This window comes from Homo sapiens, chromosome 6 (genome assembly GCF_000001405.40).
Source record: "Homo sapiens chromosome 6, GRCh38.p14 Primary Assembly".
Lineage (NCBI taxonomy): Eukaryota > Metazoa > Chordata > Mammalia > Primates > Hominidae > Homo > Homo sapiens.
Window position 1 is genome coordinate 132,768,907 of NC_000006.12, and position 18,766 is coordinate 132,787,672.

Consider the following 18,766-nt stretch of genomic DNA (forward strand, 5'->3'; position numbering starts at 1 on the left):
ACTCCAGCCAGCAGACCAAACCTCATCTTTGACCATGTCAAGCCCTTGTGCACATACTACGGACTGTCCCCTGTCAGAATGAATGGTGGTTACATCCTCTTCCTTTAGATCTCAACTCAAAGGTCGCACTTCCATGGACTTTTTCAAATTAGGCACCCATATCTAAACAAACCCAGCCAACTACTCTATCACATCACCATGTTTTTTTTTCCTTCTTAGCATTTCTGTAAGATAATTGGAGAGTCTGATATTTATTTATTGTTCGTCTCTTCCACCAGTATAAGTTACATAAAAGCAGAGATTGTGTTTATCTTGATCACAGCCAAATCCCTAGCATCTGGCATAGTGTCAGCTCAGAGAAGACATTCAAAAGATATTTTTGAATGAATAGATAAAACCATTTCTTCTTTAAAAAAATTACTGTAAATGTGGCTACTACACCATGAAAATAGACCAAGAAGCATGAGAGTTACACAATAGACATTTATTCACTTCAACATCACAATTTCACACGAAGTTGGAGGAAGCCCTTCCCTAACAAAACAAGCATTCGCATTAGGGGAAGGAGGCTGACCTGCTCTAGGGATGAAATACATCTACCAAGATATAGATAAAAACAAAAACAAAACAGATGGTAGAGCCAAAAAACAGAGACATTAAAGGAAATGAAAAACGTTATACCAAGTAATGTTTATAAATCCAGATCATAAGTGAACGTAGGTTACAAAAATGGAAGTTGTAAGTATTGTTATTCTTGTACTTTTCACACAAACAGAATTTTTAGAAAAGCTTAAGGTCAGGGAGTGCTAGAGAGTTTCTGTATGGCAGGCAAGAATTCTTCCTTTTGAACAAGACCGAAAAACCTCAGGACAAAGAGAAAGTATATCTTTTAAAAACTGATTTCATAGTAATGTTTCTACATATTTTGAAGCACCTTTATGTATTTAGAGCATATCAAATTAATTCATTTCTTTCCCTGTTAATAAAAAAGGTACATTCACAGAATCAGTGTACTTAGAATAAAAAATAAACAGAGGAAATAAGAACTAACTCGAGTTAATAACAACATCTTTAAGGACAAGTTTGGTCATTTAAAAACTAAGTCTTGTTTTGTTTTGCTTGTTTTTAATTACTCCTTTCATACTTAATATTTCAAATATAGCTGCTTCAGCAGGACAGCTTTTCAGTATCACAGTAAGTACAGCCCAATACAGGATCATCCAAAAACACGTTGACACTTCCAAGACACTGGCACGGGGTCCACGGAGTTTTGCGCGTAAAATTTTAAAAACCCTTCCTACGGTGATGTTTAAGGCCAGGAGCATTCATTTCTCAACCTTGTATCAATCCAGGATCCATCGGACTAGGTTTCATTAGGCAAGAGAGTAGTTCGTTCCTCCTCTGTGCTGAGGATGTTTTGAGATTTAGACCTACATTGAGGGAAAGAAGAGATGAATCTCAATATTTCTCATCTTAAAAACAAACAAACAAACAAAAAACCAGTACCTGTATCTCCATCCAACTATCTTTTTAAAAAAGTTTCTACTGCCCGGGCATGGTGGCTCACGCCTGTAATCCCAGCATTTTGGGAGGCAGAGGCAGGCGGATCACTTGAGGTCAGGAGTTCGAGACCAGCCTGGCCAACATGGTGAAACCCTGTCTCTACTAAAAATACAAAAATTAACTGGGCATGGTGACCCATGCCTGTAATCTCAGCTACGTGGGAGGCTGAGGCAGGAAAACCGCTTGAACCCGGGGGGCAGAAGTTGCAGTGAGCTGAGATTGTGCCACTGCATGCCAGTCTGGGTGACAGAGCAAGACACCATCTCAAAAAATAAAAATTAAAAAAGTATCTACCAACTGATGAGCCTCAGAGTGCTTAGAAATCCACTGACTGGAAGAATAAATGTAAAATGTTATTTATTTTCCACTTGCACTGGCTAACTTTTAAAGAGAGAAAAAAAGCCCCAAAATTGACCATACCTTTTTCTCCTTGAATACTCCAGTAGATAAAACAAGCCCATGGCTAATCCCTTAAACACAATTAAAAGTACTGATTAATGTAAATTTTCCAAGTCAAGTTTTTCCACAAATATAAGGAAAATGCAAATAAAAGACTGATTACTCACACTTATCAGAGCCCATAGACCTTGTATAGCTGCTGCCCATTCAAAACCAATTTTCTCATACAGAAATCCACCCAGCGTTGGTCCCATAAAAGCACTAACAATAGAAAGAAGAAAAAGTATTCAATAGTGCAAAAAATAAATAATTACTTCATGAAAAGCTACATGATCCTTCAATTGTAAGTCTTCATTACATTGGAAGATAAGTACTAAAGATAAAGCTAATTCCTGGGCACAGCATTCAGTAAAAGAAAATAATTCTACCTGATAATGACATTCAAAATTTTTTAACAATTTTGAAATTATTACTGCTTCTGAAAAGTTGATGGCTTATATAAAAATAAAAAATATGAAACAGATTTAAAAAATTCTTTATATTATTCTATTCTCAGTATTTGCAACTAATATAACTCAATTCAAAACAATATATTACATTGTTAGCATAGTTACCCTTCTGGTAGAAGGTAAAAAATAAACAAATGAATGAATAAATGAATAAATTGTAAAAATCAGAGACATGTTTCTATTAAAGGAACTTATAAATACCACTCAAATAAGATAAAGTATATGAAACCATTTTGACTAAGTATTAAACTGTTGGTATAGGCATTGATTGTTGAGTGAAAGGGTATGGATTAGAACTCTGGCTTTCCCCTAGATGAACTGTTTGTCTTTGAGAAACTCATCTGATCCCTCAGTGTTTCAATTTCTTCATCAACATCAAGCAGGGATAGTATTAATATTTTCCATCTTGCAAGTATGAATGAAATTAAATGAGGCTGGGCACAGTGGCTCATGCCTGTAATCCCAGCACTTTGGGAGGCCAAGGCGGGCAGATCACCTGAGGTCAGGAGTTCAAGACCAGCCTGGCCAACACGGTGAAACCCTGTCTCTACTAAAAATACAAAAATTAGCCAGATGTGGTGGTGGGCACCTGTAATCTCAGCTACTCAGGAGGCTGAGATAGAAGAATCTCTTGGACCTGGGAGGCGGAGGTTGCAGTGAGCCAAGATCGCACCATTGCACTCCAGCCTGGGTGATGAGAGTGAAACTCCATCTCAAAAAAAAAAAAAAAGAAAGAAATTAAATGACTACTCACCCAATTGACCACATTGCACTAAAAAGACCTGATACAAGTCCCAATGTACTTAATCCCTCTTCAAACCCATTTTCACTGCAAAAAGAGACATGAGTGTATCCATTATTAAAAGGAAAACCTGTGTGAAAGAAAAAATTGTATGATAGATCAATTAAGATAAACCAAGGATAATCTGGAAAAAAACCAACAGCAAGAATACTCTGCTTCTAAGATAAAAAGCAAATCTTATTTAAAAGAATTTTCATAGTTACATTTACTCCATGGTTTTCTAGAAATAATTTTTCTGCATATATATATGATATTAAGAAGCATGGCTCATTTGCATTAAATACTTATAAAAATATATAATTAAGAAATTCTTAAAATGAGATGAAGATGGAAAGAGAACAAAGGCAACTTTTAAAAAACAGAGATAGTTCCTTATTCCCATGAGAACTATTGAACTGACCCAGCACAGCCATAGTACTTAGTGTTCTTCATCATCATGCCTATTAAACAAAAGAATGATGACCAGGTGACAGATGCTGGTCACTCTAGGCTCTCTCATGGACCTCCTCCATGAAAGAGGAACAATGCTGAGACCTATCTATTTTGCTTTAGCTTTTCAAAATTACTTACATACTGAGGCATAAACCAAGCCAGACATCTGTCCACAACCCATTTTAGCTATTAATGTACTATTATCATTTCTATTAGTGTATTATTACTATTTATATCATAATATCATATGCTACAAAATCATGAAGATTTAACATTGGGGCAAAAATATCCAACATGCTGCAAAATTGAGAAATTCAAGAAAGCCTGTGATACTTACTACTTATTCACAATACAGCTCTTCAAGCAATGGAAGTAACTTACTGTGCACAACTGAGAATTTCCGGGAAAGTTGGAATTATACTCATTCCAGCAGAGAGGCCACTTACAACTAATATCAGCACCAGCAGCCAGAGCTGACTGCAAAAGGGTTTTGGAGAAAACAAATACAAAAAGAAAAACATTAGCGTTTTAACAAACACAAAGCTTAATGCTAAGGAAGTGAGGATCCCTGATAAGTTATTTCACCGATTATGTGCCTAGTCTCATTCCCTTTCCCATCTAACCCATTTCATTCAGTTAGAGTGTCCTTTAGCTCCTTACAGTTTTGGGGGCGGGGGGGTGGGGGGGAATTCATCCTGATATCTCCATCTCTTTGGTCCTTTGGTTACACATATCACATATCTGGAGCCAACCTGGCTTCTTCTCACCAGACAAAATCCCTTCAAAATTGGTGAAAACGTCAGTACTAAAACTGTTCTTTCAATCACTCGGCTTTGAACTTCAATTAATTTAAAGATGGCATAGAAGGAAAGAGGTAAAAGAAGAGTCAGGAAACACATTTGTTCCATGTGAGGAGACTATGCCAGTTACTTAATATATGTTACCAGATTTAATCCTTGTAATGTAAGTACTATTATCAGCTCCTTTTTGTAGATGAGAAAACCGAGGCTCTTGGAAGTTAAGTGGTTTGCTTATTAGTACATGGCAAAGCCAAAATGTAAACTCAGGTCTGAAGGACTCTGAAACCCCTTCCTTTCCAGGTTACTATGTTTTATCCCAGAAGTACCTGAAAAGGTCTAAGAAGTTCAGTTTATTTTAGCAACTAAATTACATTAAGCAAGGTCTAATAAGCAGCTACTACATGCTAAGGATGATACAGAAAGAAAAATAGATTTGGTCCCTGCCTCAAGGAAAAAGAAAAGAAAAAAAAAACAAAAATATATTCTAAGAACTATCAACTAAAGGTAAGTAGCAACAAATTCTATTTTAAAAATATAACAAAAGTATAAACAAGTATGTACAATTGAAATACAGAAGGAGAATATGCATTTTTGTCATTTGAGACAGATTTTATGCATTTTTTTCTGTTGTCCCACTGCTAGCTTCTAGTAGGGTAAAATATTGTCAGCCTAACAATTCAATAGAGTCCTAAAGTTAATTATTTAAATATTAATGTTCAAAATACTAAACTATACCAATGTTAAAACAAAATTTTTCGAAATAATTCCTAATGTTATTTGGCCAAACATACAGAAGAAGAAAAAAATTACCTTTTAATATGCAAGATTGGGACAGGCCCTAAGAGCATGTAGCACCCGGCTGTGATTAAGTTGCCAAACACCAGAAGCCATTTCCTTAGAGGCTGGTAAAGGAGAAAGAGAGTCAAAATGATTCTTAGAGGCAAAGACCCTCCATAATCAAACAACGTAAAACATTAGTAAAAAACACAAATCATGATATTCAAAAACCCAAATACAATGAAGAAAACAAAACTTTACATTTAAAAGAAAGTAAGGAGATGATAAACTCGCAAGCAATGACGATATATAACAAGGCAGAAAGTGAACAAAGGACAAAGATTTCTTAGCAGGGGAGTGCATTGCAGATCAGATTTTGCACATGATGAACTATTACAAATATAACAACGAAAAAACTCATTATAAAAAGCAGTAACCGGCCAGGCACGGCGGCTCACACCTATAATCCCAAAACTTTGAGAGGCCGAGGTGGGAAGATCCCTTGAGCTCACAAGTTTGAGACCAGACTAGCCAACATGGTGAAACCCTGTCTCTATTAAAAAAATACAAAAATTAGCTGGGCAGGGTGGTGGACATCTGTAATCCCAGCTACTCAGGAAGCTGAGGCAGGAGAATTGCTTGAACCTGGGAGGCGGAGGTTGCAGTGAGCCAAGATCACACCACCGTACTCCATCCTGGGCAACAGAGCAAGACTCTGTCTCAAAAAAAAGCAGTGACCACAAAAAAAACCCACCAAGTATTAATAGTTACAATACCTAGAAAAATCACATTATTAAAAAATTACCTGCTAGAGACTGAATGCTTATGTCCCCCCAAAATTTATATGTTAAATCTTAACACCCAATGTGATGGTATCTGGAGGTGAGCCTTTGGGAGGTGATTAGTTAATGAAGGTGCAGCCTTCATGAATAGAATTAGTATCCTTATACAAGAGGCCCCAAAGAGCTCCCTTGCCCATTCCATCATGGTGAGGTTAAAGTGAAAGATGACAATCTGTGCGCCAGGCAACAGGCCCTCATCAGACATCAAATCTGCCAGTGCCTTAATCTTGGACATGTCGGTCTCCACAATTGTGAGAAATAAATTTCTATTGTTTATAAAGCCTCTCAGTTTACGATATTTTGTTATAGTATCCTGAATGGACTAAGATTGTATCCAGTAAAATTATCCCTTATAAACTACTTGAATCAGGACAAAAATTACAGGGGTACCATATCTGCTCAGTTATGTAAGATTATGTCTGAAAACCAAGCTCCAAACACTGTTTAAGATACTTGCTTTTTGACATCTGGGTTACTAAGTAATCCACAAGTAATTCTGTTCTTGATAAATAAATATGCAAATGAAATCAAGGGAAATGCAAAATATAAGCCCTAAAACCGCAGAAGTTTAAGATTTTACTAACAGTACTAATTCTGTACTCTGATCATCTGGACTGAATGGTTTAAACCTGGTTGAAAGAGAACAGAAGGGTTTTTTTTGTTTTGTTTTGTTTTGCTTTTCTTTTTATCAGAAAGGCTATGGGATAACCAGTGCATATTTATGTGGTCAATTCTTTCACTCACACAGAAAATCTAAATTACCTCCTCCTAAAGAAGAATCTCTCAATTTGATCAAGTCCACAGTAGCCTCTAGGACTTTGCCCTATTTATTAAGATCAATCCATTTTTTTACATCAAGTGAGCTTTTTTCATAAGAGAGTTTAATCTAGGAGCTGGATGTGGTGGCACATGCCTATAATCCCAGCTACCTAGGAGGCTGATGCAGGAGGATCACTTGAACCCAAGAATTCAAGGCTGCAGTGAGCTATGATCGCACCACTGCACTCCAGTCTGGACGACAAAGTTGGGGGAAGAAATTAGAAAAGGAAAGTCTAATCCAATTTATTTTTTTTTAAGCATAAGACTCTTCCTCTTTTCCCAGGTGAAGCAATTTAAAGTGAACTGGCTTAGTGTGATAGCTGACCCTTAGGGTGATAGAAAACACTGAAACCTCTCCATCAGTCCAATTGAATATATCAAGTCTAACCAGTGGAATCCTAGAGTTCCAAAGGAACAGTTGGAAAACCACTGCTCTAAACATACAAAAGTGACTCAAATATAAATTAAGTGTACGTACTGGCCTTTTATCACTTAGGAGACCAAATAGTGGTGAAGAGATGGCATAGGACAGTGCCATACCCAGGAATACTAGTCCCACATATCCAGCTGGTAAATTGAACTGTAAAAGAAATCCTATATTAAAGTTACATAATTAAGTCATTTTTAAGTAAACATCCCTCTTTTCCCTCTACCATTTCTTTAGCTCTTATTACCATGAGTCTACTAATAATATTCTGCATTTTCCTAATTTTCATCTTACCTTTGAAAATGCGTTACTTTTTCTCTCTATGGGAGGACAACCTAACCAGAAGTCAGAAGAGTAGATTTTTTGCTTTGTAGCCTTTGGCATTAAACATATTTTGCTTCCATAACTCAGAGCATTTTTATATGTAAATTAATGTTTTGCAAACTTCAATGTGCATAAAATTTACCTGGAGAACTTGCTAAAAGAGATTCTTGGATTCCAACCATAGGGTTTCTGATTCAGAAAAAGAGGAAAATAAATTTCTAAAGATTTCTTAGGTTGGAGTTGGGTAATAGGATGGGCTGCAGCACTTCCACCTGAAAAGGGAGCAGCAGTGGTGAGGCACCACCAATAGCCCTGAGAGAGTCAAGGTCTGATGTAAAACCGGGTGTGGTGGCTCATGCCTGAAATCCCAGCATTTAGGGAGGTTGAGGCGGGTGGATCACTTCAGGTCAGGAGTTTGAGACAAGCCTGGCCAACATGAGGAAACCCCATCTCTACTAAAAAACACAAAAATCAGCCTGGTGTGGTGGCGCATGGCTGTAATCCCAGCTACTCAGGAGGTGGAGGCAGGAGAATCGAGGTGGAGGCAGGAGAATTGCTTGAACTTAGGAGGCAGAGGCTACGGTGAGCCAAGATCATGCCACTATATTCTAGCCTGGGTGACACAGTGAGACTCTGTCTCAAAAGCAAAAAAAGTTCTGATATAGTCCATCATCAGCCAGGAACAAGTAGGGCCTATACTACCTCCCATGCCACAAATGGGTCGATTATATTTATCTCTGAGGAAACCTCCTGTCTTCCTCATCACTTAAAAATAAATTAAATTTTCTTGAGAAACAACAAAAAAGATTTATTATAAGATATACACAAACGGGCCAGGTGCGGTGGCTCACGCCTGTAATCCCAGCACTTTGGGAGGCCGAGGTGGGCAGATCATGAGGTCAGGAGATCGAGACCATCCTGGCTAACACGGTGAAACCTCATTTCTACTAAAACTACAGAAAAATTAGCCTGGCCTGGTGGCACACACCTGTAGTACCAGCTACTCGGGAGGCTGAGGCAGGAGAATTGCTTGAACCTGGGAGGAGGAGGTTGCAGTGAGCCGAGATCGTGCCATTGCACTCCAGCCTGGGCAACAGAGCAAGGCTCCATCTCAAACAAAACAAAACAAAACAAAAAAGATAAACACAAACAACTTGGATTTCCCAGAGATTATAGATTTTTGTTGTTGTTGTTTAGACACAGCTTCTTAAAAGCACAGAAAAACAGCTCAAAAATACAGGTTGTTGATGATCTAAATGGACTGTGTCAGTATAATCATAAAACATTTTTCTTATGGGTGTCACACGCGTCCGTGTAAACAGACCACCAAACAGGCTTTGTGTGAGCAATAAAGCTTTTTAATTACCTGGGTGCAGGCAGACTGAGTCCGAAAAAGGAGTCAGCAAAGTGAGATAGGCTTGGGGCAGTTTTACAGGCTTTGGGTAGGTAATGGAAAATTACAGTTAAAGGTGGTTATCTCTTGCGGGCAGGGGCGAGGGACACAAGGTGCAGGGTGGGGAATATCATAAGACTCATTGTCCAGGGGAGGAATGTCACAAGGTCAATTGATCAGTTGGGGTGGGGCAGGAACAAATCGCAATGGTGGAATGTCATCTTTTATGGTTCTTCAGTTGCTCCAGGTCATCTGGATGTATACGTGCAGGTCACAGGGGTTATGATGGCTTAGCTTGGGCTCAGAAGCCTGACATTGGGTACCTTATGGATACTCACTGGCTAAAGGCAATATTATAATACTCTCTAAATCTTGGACCAGGCACTAAAATAACAGTCCCCAAGTTTACCTGTGAAGTACCCCAAACTGTCTTCAGTGATTTCAAGGGGTAGTGTAAAATTATAAGAAAAAATAATTTTAATCTTTACATTCTATGATAGGTAAATGTTCAGAAAGCATTGGAAATGACCATATTAAGCAACTTTGTTGATATTAGAAAATATATTGAAACTTAAGTTTCTGTGCTATTTTAAATCTAGTGCCTCAAAGTCATTATGGGTTGAAGTTAGTCATTTTTGCCTTTTATCAACACATATTAATTCTCCAGTATAGTTAACTACCACACCTGGTAATGGACTTCACTGTGTCAGTAATAATATTTTTTCAAAAATATCTAAGAACAAATTTCAATGACATCAAACTTTTAGAATTCAACATTTTATTTTTTAATGCTAAGGATACTTGGTTCCTTTCTCAAATCCCAGAATAATACAGTCCATAGTCATTTGATTATATGAAGCAGCTTAAAAAGTAAGTGGACCCAGGGGGGATCTGTTATAGAAGAAGCACATCTCACATCAAATGAGCTACTGTGTACCCCTAATGTCTCATTGCAATTCAAACAAATAGAGGAAAAGTGTCCTTGTTAAGCAGCACGGATGATGCCCAAGCTAAACCTACAATGACACGAGCAAGTTCTTGGAAAGAAGGAAACCAATGTTAAGGCCACTTAGTGAAAGACTTCCTTCATTTTTACTGAATCAGGTTCCTAGTTCACAGGGACGGTAGAGAGGGACACGCTACCTCGGTGTGTAGTGCCCATTCTACCTTCTTCTCCCAGCCACGCAAGGGTCTTTCCACAGAGCAGGGCCCAAGAACAAGCAGTTACATCCACCTGCTACAATGCAGCACTCTTCAGCAATCAGGTAACTTACCTTCTCCAAAACAAAGAGAGACAGAGTAGGATCGAGGAAGCCAAAACACGAGCTGAGTGAGTTGATGACGAAGGCTATAAGGCCAACTTTGGGTAAAGCGATCAGTTTCCAGAATGAGTGTTCACCTGGATCAGACTCTTTAGGGAAAAAATGAAAAAAGAAAAAAAAAATGAAAGCAATTAAAATCTCTTAATTTTAACTATTTGGAAAACTGGTAACACCATCTTTATCTGGTAATCAAAATGACTCAATCTCTGAGTTTGCCTAAAATTGTATACCATCTATACTTGCATATAAATTATTCAAACCTAGAGGCCACATTCAATTTATTAAAAACAATTTCCCAAGTTTAAAAAGAATCAACTGGAATCAGAGTGTGAGGAGAAGAAGGGGTCTTAGGTTACAGGTTGTAACAATTATACTCATCCTGGCCAGAGATAATATCAGGTTTGGACATGTATTAGTCTGTTCTCATGCTGCTAATAAAGACATACCTGAGACTGGGTAATTTATAAAGGAAAGAGGTTTAATAAACTCAAAGTTCCACATGGCTGGGGAAGCCTCACAATCATGGTGGAAGACGAAGGAAGAGTAAAGGGACATTTTACATGGCTGCAGGCAAGAGAGCCTGTGCAAGGGAACTCCCATTTATAAAAACATCAGATCTTGTGAGACTTATTCACTCCCATGAGAACAGTATGGGGGAAATCACTCCCATGAATTAATTACCTCCACCTGGCCCCACCCCTTGACACATGGGGACTATTATAATTCAAGGTGAGATTTGGGTGGGGATACAGCAAAATCATATCAGACATGAAAGCTTTTTTTTCTTTTTTTTTTTTAAGAGATGGAGTGTCTTGCTCTGTTACCCAGGCTGGAGTGCAGTTGTGTTATTACAGTTTACTGCAGCCTCCAACTCCTGCGTGCTCAAGTGATACTCCTGTCTCAGCTTCCCAAGTAGCTGGGACTACAGGTGTGCACTACCTCACCTAGCTAATTTAAAAATTTTTTAGAGATGGGGTCTCCCTATGTTGCCCAGGCTGGTCTCAAATTTTTGGCCTAAAGCGATCCTCCCACCTCAGCCTCCCACTTATGGATGTGGAAGCTATTTGATGGCCATGATGGCCCTCATTCATCCCCATTTCTCCTACTACATCCTGCACAGTTCATTATTCTGTAAATACTTGTTGAATCATGACCAAATATAAACATCATGCAGTGTGGTTCAGCTATTTTAAGTGTTATCCTTAGATTTTTTCAGGATATAAGAGATAAAAGTTAAACCGTGGTGTTAGTTTTTTTTTTTTTTTTTTTTTTTTGAGACAGTAGTTTTTTTTTTGGAGTGCAGTGGTGCGATCTCAGCTCACTGCAACCTCCACCTCCTGGGCTCAAGCGATTCTCCTGCCTCAGCCTCCCGAGTAGCTGGGATTACAGGCACACGCAACCACACCCAGCTAATTTTTGTATTTTTAGTAGAGACGGGGTTTCACCATGTTGGTCAGGCTGGTCTTGAACTCCTGACCTCGTGATCCACCTGCCTTGGCCTCCCAAAGTGCTGAGATTACAGGCATGAGCCACCACCCCTGGTAGGTGTTAGTTTCTTAATTATAAGCCAAGTATTCAATGGTGAAATAAATCTGAGCACATCCTTGATGCTCAACTACAGAAACTGCAGGATGTAGTTGGACTTAGAAAGAGGAGAAACACCACTGTGTGGCTCAGTGAGGTATTGCCAGCAGGGAGACAAGTTGGTATGATTTTTGAATTGTATATACTAAGGATGTTAGTTACTTTTAAAATATAAATTATAAAAGATTCTAATTTTAATTGGTTACATTTATTGTGAAAGTAAGAAGTATTATGTATTTACGGTAAGAAATAAATCATTATTGCACAATAGTCCCTTTTCCTAAAATCCAGGGTGAGAAAAGTTGTCATAATGAGAATATATTAAAACATCCATGAAAATGAAACATAATTAGTATAATTAAGCTGTTGAAGACCAAGTAATGAAAACTTGGGGTATTTGCTTGAAGGGACATGACTCCCTGGCTGACAAAGCCTGCACAGGAAGTTACTGTTAGAGATGGGGGGGTGGGGTTGTCCTCAGGTGTGAGGGGACAGGAAAAATACTGACCACTATGGCACTACTTACACAAAATCTAGTCCAGTGATCGAGAAGGTTTAGAAAAACTCCCCAGAAAAGGGCCGGGCACGGTGGCTCACATCTGTAATCCCAGAACTCTGGGGGGCCAAAATGGGTGGATCACGAGGGTAGGAGTTCGAGACCAGCCTGGCCAACATAGTGAAACGCTGTCTCTACTAAAAATACAAAAATCAGCCAGGTGTGGTGGCGCAGGCCTGTAATCCCACCTACTCGGGAGGCTGAGGCAGGAGAATTGCTTGAACCCGGGAGGCGGAGGTTGCAATGAGCCAAGATCACGCCACTGTATTCCAGCCTGGGCGACAGAGCAAGACTCTGTCTTTAAAAAAAAAAAAGAAAAGAAAAGAAAAGAAAAAGAAAAACCTCCCAGAAAAGGTAATAAAATCAAGTTTTGCAGGATGAGTAAGGGTTAGGTAGAGTGAAAGAAAGATATTCCAGATCATATGACTCCTCTACTTAAATCTAACAATAGGCCAGGTGCAGTGGCTCACACCTGTAATCGCAGCACTTTGGGAAACCAAGGTGGGAGGATCACTTTAGGTCAGGAGTTCGAGACCAGACTGGCCAACATGGTGAAACTCTGTCTCTACTAAAAATAGAAAAAGTACTCAGGTGTGGTGGCATGCACCTGTACTCCCAGCTACTCGGGAGGCTGAAGCATGAGAATTGCTTGATCCTGGGAGGCGGAGGTTACAGTGAGCCAAGATCACACCACTGCACTCCAGCCGGGGTGACAGAGTGAGACTCTGTTTCAAAAAAAAAAAAAAAAAATTCTAACAATAGCTCCCAGTGGCTTTCAGGATAACATTCACATTTCATGGATTTATGAATTTTTTATTTAAAAAATAACAAGTAAAAATTGCCTATATTTATGGTATAAAACATTATATTTTGATATGTGTATACATTGTAGAATAAGTAAATCAAGCTAATTAACACATGCTTTGCCTCACATACTTATTTTTTTATGGTGAGAACACTTAAAATCTACTATTGGCAATTTTCAAGTGTCCAATATGTTGTTATTAACTATAGTCACTATGATGTACAATAGATCTCCTGAACTTACTGGATTTAAAGATTTTAATAAGATAATTGACATGTCCATGACTCTATTTTAGAAGCTTTTTTTTTTAGAGCAGTACAGGAGAGGGGACTTGGTGAGCAGATATAATGAATGACTCTTAGCCACCTAATGCTAAAGCCATATTGTCTATGGGTCTAAAAGGTGGTAAAGAAATGGGTAGAACTTATAAAATAAAAAATTCTGCCAATATCAGTAATTTTTAAAATTTATTTGATTTTCTAGCATCTAGCTATAAACTCTTCTAAAATAATAACAATTTTTTTTTTTTTTTGAGATGGAGTCTCACTTTGTTGTCCAGGCTGGAGCGCAGTGGCATGATCTTGGCTCACTGCAACCTCCGCCTCCTAGGTTCAAACAATTCTCCTGTCTCAGCCTCCTGAGTAGCTGGGAGTATAGGTACATACCACCATGCCTGGCTAATTTTTGTATTTTTAGTAGAGATGGGGTTTCACCATGTTGGTCAGGCCGGTCTCAAACTCCTGACCTCAGGTGATCTGCCCGCCTCGGCCTCCCAAAGTGCTGGGATTACAGAGATTAGCCACTGCGCCTAGCGAAATAATAACAATTTTTAAAAATACTACTAATTGGGAATACTTAAATCTACATTTACAGCCTTAATATTATCAATCCTAGAGATTTTTTTTTAAATACCAGTTTATAATTTTTTGAGGGGGTGGAAGAGTCTCGCTCTATCACCCAGGCTGGAGTGCAATGGTGCGATCTCAGCTCACTGCAACCTCCACCTCCTGGGTTCAAGCAATTCTCATGCCTCAGCCTTCTGAGTAGCTTGGACTACAGGTGTGCACCACCATGCCCAGCTAATTTTTATATTTTTAGTAGACACAGGGTTTCACCATGTTGGCAGGCTGGTCTTGAACTCCTGGCCTCAAGTGATCCGCCAGCCTCAGCATCCCAAAGCTCTGTGATTACAGGCATGAGCCACTGTGTCTGGCCCAGTTTATAATTTTTTAAAAGCACTACTCAATGAGAACACCTGAATCTACGTCCTTGTATCTGAGCTACGCTGTGAGGACAGCTGCAAGGACCACTGGGAGAGAAGGATGGGCATTGTTCTCCTAGCTTATAGCCTTCTAGGAAGACTGGGCCATATGTGGCCCACAGAAACTTCTGGTTTTGATATTTAGTTCAGTCCAAGAAAACCTCTCATAGACATAGCGTATGGTAATGGTTTATGATCAGAAATTAAATATTTGCTAGCTCTAAAGGTTGGAAAGAATTTGTAATTTACAGAAATTCATATAAACTAATTGCCTACATTACTGAAAAAAGAATCAGTTATTTTTAAAAGCTATTTTTGATTATATAAAATAATAACTGGTAAAACTGGTCTCTTACAAAGGTATAAAAATATATTTAAGGTTCTTAAAATGAGTAATAAGTGTGGACTTACCGTAATTGGGTAAAATATACATATTGAGTGGTACCATCAGCAAAACGACGCATCCCAGAACAATAAAAGGCACTTCATAGCCAAAGGATTGATACAAAAAGCCACCTACAGGAGGACCTAGTATTAGCCCCAGTCCAGAAAAAGTCTCAAGACTTCCCTTAAAATGAGAAAAAGAAAAAATCAGTTTAAATATTTCATTTGAAGAATTAACATGGTACTATCTTTAAAAAAATTTCTATCTTCTTCATAATTTACATACACACACTCCCAAGATGGCCCCAAAATTTAAATGCACATATTGAAATCATAAAAATATTAGAAAAATAAAATATGGGAGTTTTAAAAAAATTGTTATTGTAAGGAAGGTATTCTAATTGTGACATAAAACACAGAAGATAAAAAAGATTGACAAATCTGATTACATGAAAATACGAAAACTATGCATAAAAAAATCAAAAGATAAATGAAGAACAGAGAAAAAAATGACAAAGAACTAATTCCCCAAATACATCATGAGAGCTACAATGAGGAAAAGATAAACAACCCATAGAAAAATGGGCAAATGCTATAAATTATTGACATATAGATGGAATACAAAGATCTTTTAGAAGTTCACCCTCACTTTTTAAAAGAAATGAGCAAATTTGAACCACAAGATACCAATTTTCACCTATCTCTATCGAACACTCTATGCTAGTGAGTGAACACCGGTAGGCAATTTGGCAATTTGGCAATTTGGCAAATTGAGGCACATACCTTATGACCCAGAATTCCACTTCTAAGAATTTAACTTACAAGTTTAGACATGCAGATATGACATGGTATGTATACAAGCTTATGTGCTATAGCAGAGTTTTGCAATAGCAAAAGATGAAAATAATCTAAATATTCATCAACGATGTAAGTAAACCAGGTTATATCCACGCAGTGAAATACTATACAGACAGTAAGAACAGTAAAGAGTAAGAAAGCTCCTTATATGTAGGTACAGGAAGATCTCCAAGATGATTTCATTGTTGGTGTAACCAGTGAGGTGCTGAATGGTACATATGGTATTGCTACCATTTGTGTAAAGAAAAAAGAGGGATACTGCAATAGTCCTGTCCAGTTAAAAAAAAAAAAAAGGAAAAGAAAAAAGGGGGAGGGAAATCATGCTCTCTTGTTCTCGTGCTCTCTCTCTCTCTCAGTGTGTGTGTGTGTGTGTGTGTGTGTGTGTGTCAGTGTGTACATATATATATGTGGAATTTCTCTGCAAGAAACCTGCAATATCTGTTGCCTTCCCCTAAGGGGATGGAGGGCTGGGCACCTGCACAACTGATGTGTATACAAAGGCTGAGCAACTGTTATATGTAGAATATATTTACTATATTCTATGTTCCCTTCTGTAACTTTTGAATTTTGTACCATATAAAATTATTCTGTTTAAAGTTAAACAAAACAATGCTATGGAAAAAAAGGGTTTACCACTATAGATATTGCAACATTTTAAATCAATCTAGTTTTTAGGGACCTTAAACAGAGATCTGTGGCTTGCAGCCTTATATCCTTAGACCTTATAGAGTACACAAAAATATACCATTAATAACTTTCAAAACTTCATAAAGAACATTGAAATTCTTTAATCACAATAAGCCATCCAGATCAATTATCACATTAGTGTGTTAGCTGTTGGCTGCAATTTTATACAGAAACTTGGTACAGCAACATTGGTGTCTCTTGCTGATCAGAAAATCCAATGGATTGTTACCATTATCATAGGAATTTATTAAGTGGCACTTTCCAGAGTGTTCCACAGAATACCAGCTCTTTAAGAGATCAACAAGTCTTGTTTGAAAAAATAGTTACAGCCAGGTGTGGTGGCTCACATTTGTAATCCCAGCCACCTTGGAAGGCCAAAGTGGGAGGATTGCTTGAGGCCAGGTGTTCAAGACCAGCCTGGGCAACTCAGCAAGACCCTGTCTCTACAAAAAAAAAAAAAAAAAAAGAAAGAAAAAAAGAAAAAAGAAAAGAAAGAAAAAAAATGGTTCCATAGTTAAAGTGAGTTGTGGAACATTTAATAAAGTATCCCTACTCCAGGATTTTCAAGGTCTAAAGACATTAATGTGAACTGGGCATCTCTAAGTTAGAGGACAGCAGACAGCCCTCTCCAAACTTGCTTAACCATAAACCCTTATCTTAATGAGCATATCAACAGACGGGTGTTCTTCTGAGCCCTTTCTGAGAAATAAATTTTCTGGAAATGTAAATGGTATGCCGGCCAAATGGCAATAGAACCTACCATAAACCTATCCAGCTATATACATAAATGCTTAATAAAAAGTGGGAAGAACGTGCCGGGCACGGTGGCTCACGCCTGTAATCCTAGCACTTTGGGAGGCTGAGGCAGGTGGATCACGAGGTCAGGAGATCGAGACCATCCTGGCTAACATGGCGAAACCCCGTCTCTACTAAAAATACAAAAAAAAATGTAGCCGGGTGTGGTGGCGGGCGCCTGTAGTCCCAGCTACTCGGGAGGCTGAGGCAAGAGAATAGCGTGAACCCGGGAGGCGGAGCTTGCAGTGAGCCGAGATCGCTCCACTGCACTCCAGCCTGGGCTACGGAGCGAGACTCCATCCCCCACTCCAAAAAAAAAAAAAAAAAAAAGGTTGGGGGGAAGGACTATTTACACCACAAAGGGTTTATCTGATGGTAAAAATTTTCAAACTACATTGTTACATGAGTAAATGAGGGAGTCCTCGGTACTAAGCTGATTAGACTCTGAAGTCTAAGAGAACAATTACATGCTATAAGGGCGCCATACCGACTATGATATGAAGTGCGTGGGCCCAGAGAGAGAGAGAGAGCTACGAGGGGAAAGCCTTCTTGGGGATCAGAGAGGCAGCTGCCTAGAGATGGGATGAGAATCTGATATGTCACTAATACCAGGTCTATACGCATCTAGGCAGTACACAAAAACGCATGTCAATATCATGCCACCAGGATCTGGATTTTTATGTCAAAATGCAAAAGCACTCCTCAGACAGACAGCACAGAAACACTTAAGGACTTTGAGATGATTTCTAAGATCCCGTGCATAAATCTGGGGAAAGTGGAAGAAGGCCTTTAGTATGAATTGATTATTTTGCCACTAGGGATAACTCTTTTCTAAAGCAGAGGAATGCTTCAGGCAGCTCAGCCACAATCTAGGCTACGGGGAGACAGCAAAAAAACTACAAAGGAAAATTTTTTTTTTAAGTGGTAAAAAGAACGACTGATTTGGACCACATTTACCTGTCAAACTGCCCATTCAGGGAATTCTAAAACCAGGAAGAGCACCTAAGTGAAACCAATGTTACATTTATTGACAGGCTTGCTGCTAGTCAAACTCGGGGTGAAAGGCAACAATAATACAGAGAGTAGAGAAATGCAAGTATAGAAGAATGGACCCCAGCTTTAACTTGGAAGGGCAAATATTTTGGCCTACACTCAAAGGAAAGTGGGAAATACTTCTAAAATACATACCAATACCGTAGCCACGTTATTTGGAAAAGCCTTTGCCAGGATAGAAGAAGATGCAGTCATTGCTGCAGCAAAGCTAACTGCATCCATTACTCTCACTAGAAAACACATAGCAATAAATACTGGCCCATCTGGAACTCGGTCCAATACACTAAAAAGGAATAAGACAATTCTGAAATGCCAAGCTGGTTTTCTTTTTTTTTTTTTCCTTTTTAACTGTACTCACTAAAAAGAATAGTACC

The 18,766-nt window shown here is 38.5% G+C and overlaps 1 protein-coding gene across 3 annotated transcripts in view; it reads right to left on the minus strand.

Moving 5' to 3' along the window:
* Positions 1-463: 463 nt before the first annotated feature.
* The window catches only part of SLC18B1 (solute carrier family 18 member B1), a 29,268-nt gene continuing 10,965 nt past the window's right edge, over positions 464-18,766 (minus strand). For 2 of the 3 annotated variants that reach the window (NM_052831.3, XM_047418165.1), the window contains exons 5-14: positions 18,528-18,675; positions 15,027-15,183; positions 10,362-10,498; positions 7,422-7,523; positions 5,316-5,407; positions 4,087-4,182; positions 3,226-3,300; positions 2,130-2,223; positions 1,984-2,033; positions 464-1,430 (exon numbers count right to left, since the gene is read on the minus strand). In NM_052831.3, coding sequence (NP_439896.1) covers positions 1,364-1,430; positions 1,984-2,033; positions 2,130-2,223; positions 3,226-3,300; positions 4,087-4,182; positions 5,316-5,407; positions 7,422-7,523; positions 10,362-10,498; positions 15,027-15,183; positions 18,528-18,675 — 1,018 coding nt within the window. In that variant the 3' untranslated portion in view covers positions 464-1,363. Of the gene's footprint in view, positions 1,431-1,983; positions 2,034-2,129; positions 2,224-3,225; positions 3,344-4,086; positions 4,183-5,315; positions 5,408-7,421; positions 7,524-10,361; positions 10,499-15,026; positions 15,184-18,527; positions 18,676-18,766 lie in introns of those variants that run through there. The other variant, XM_047418166.1, reaches the window with a different exon arrangement.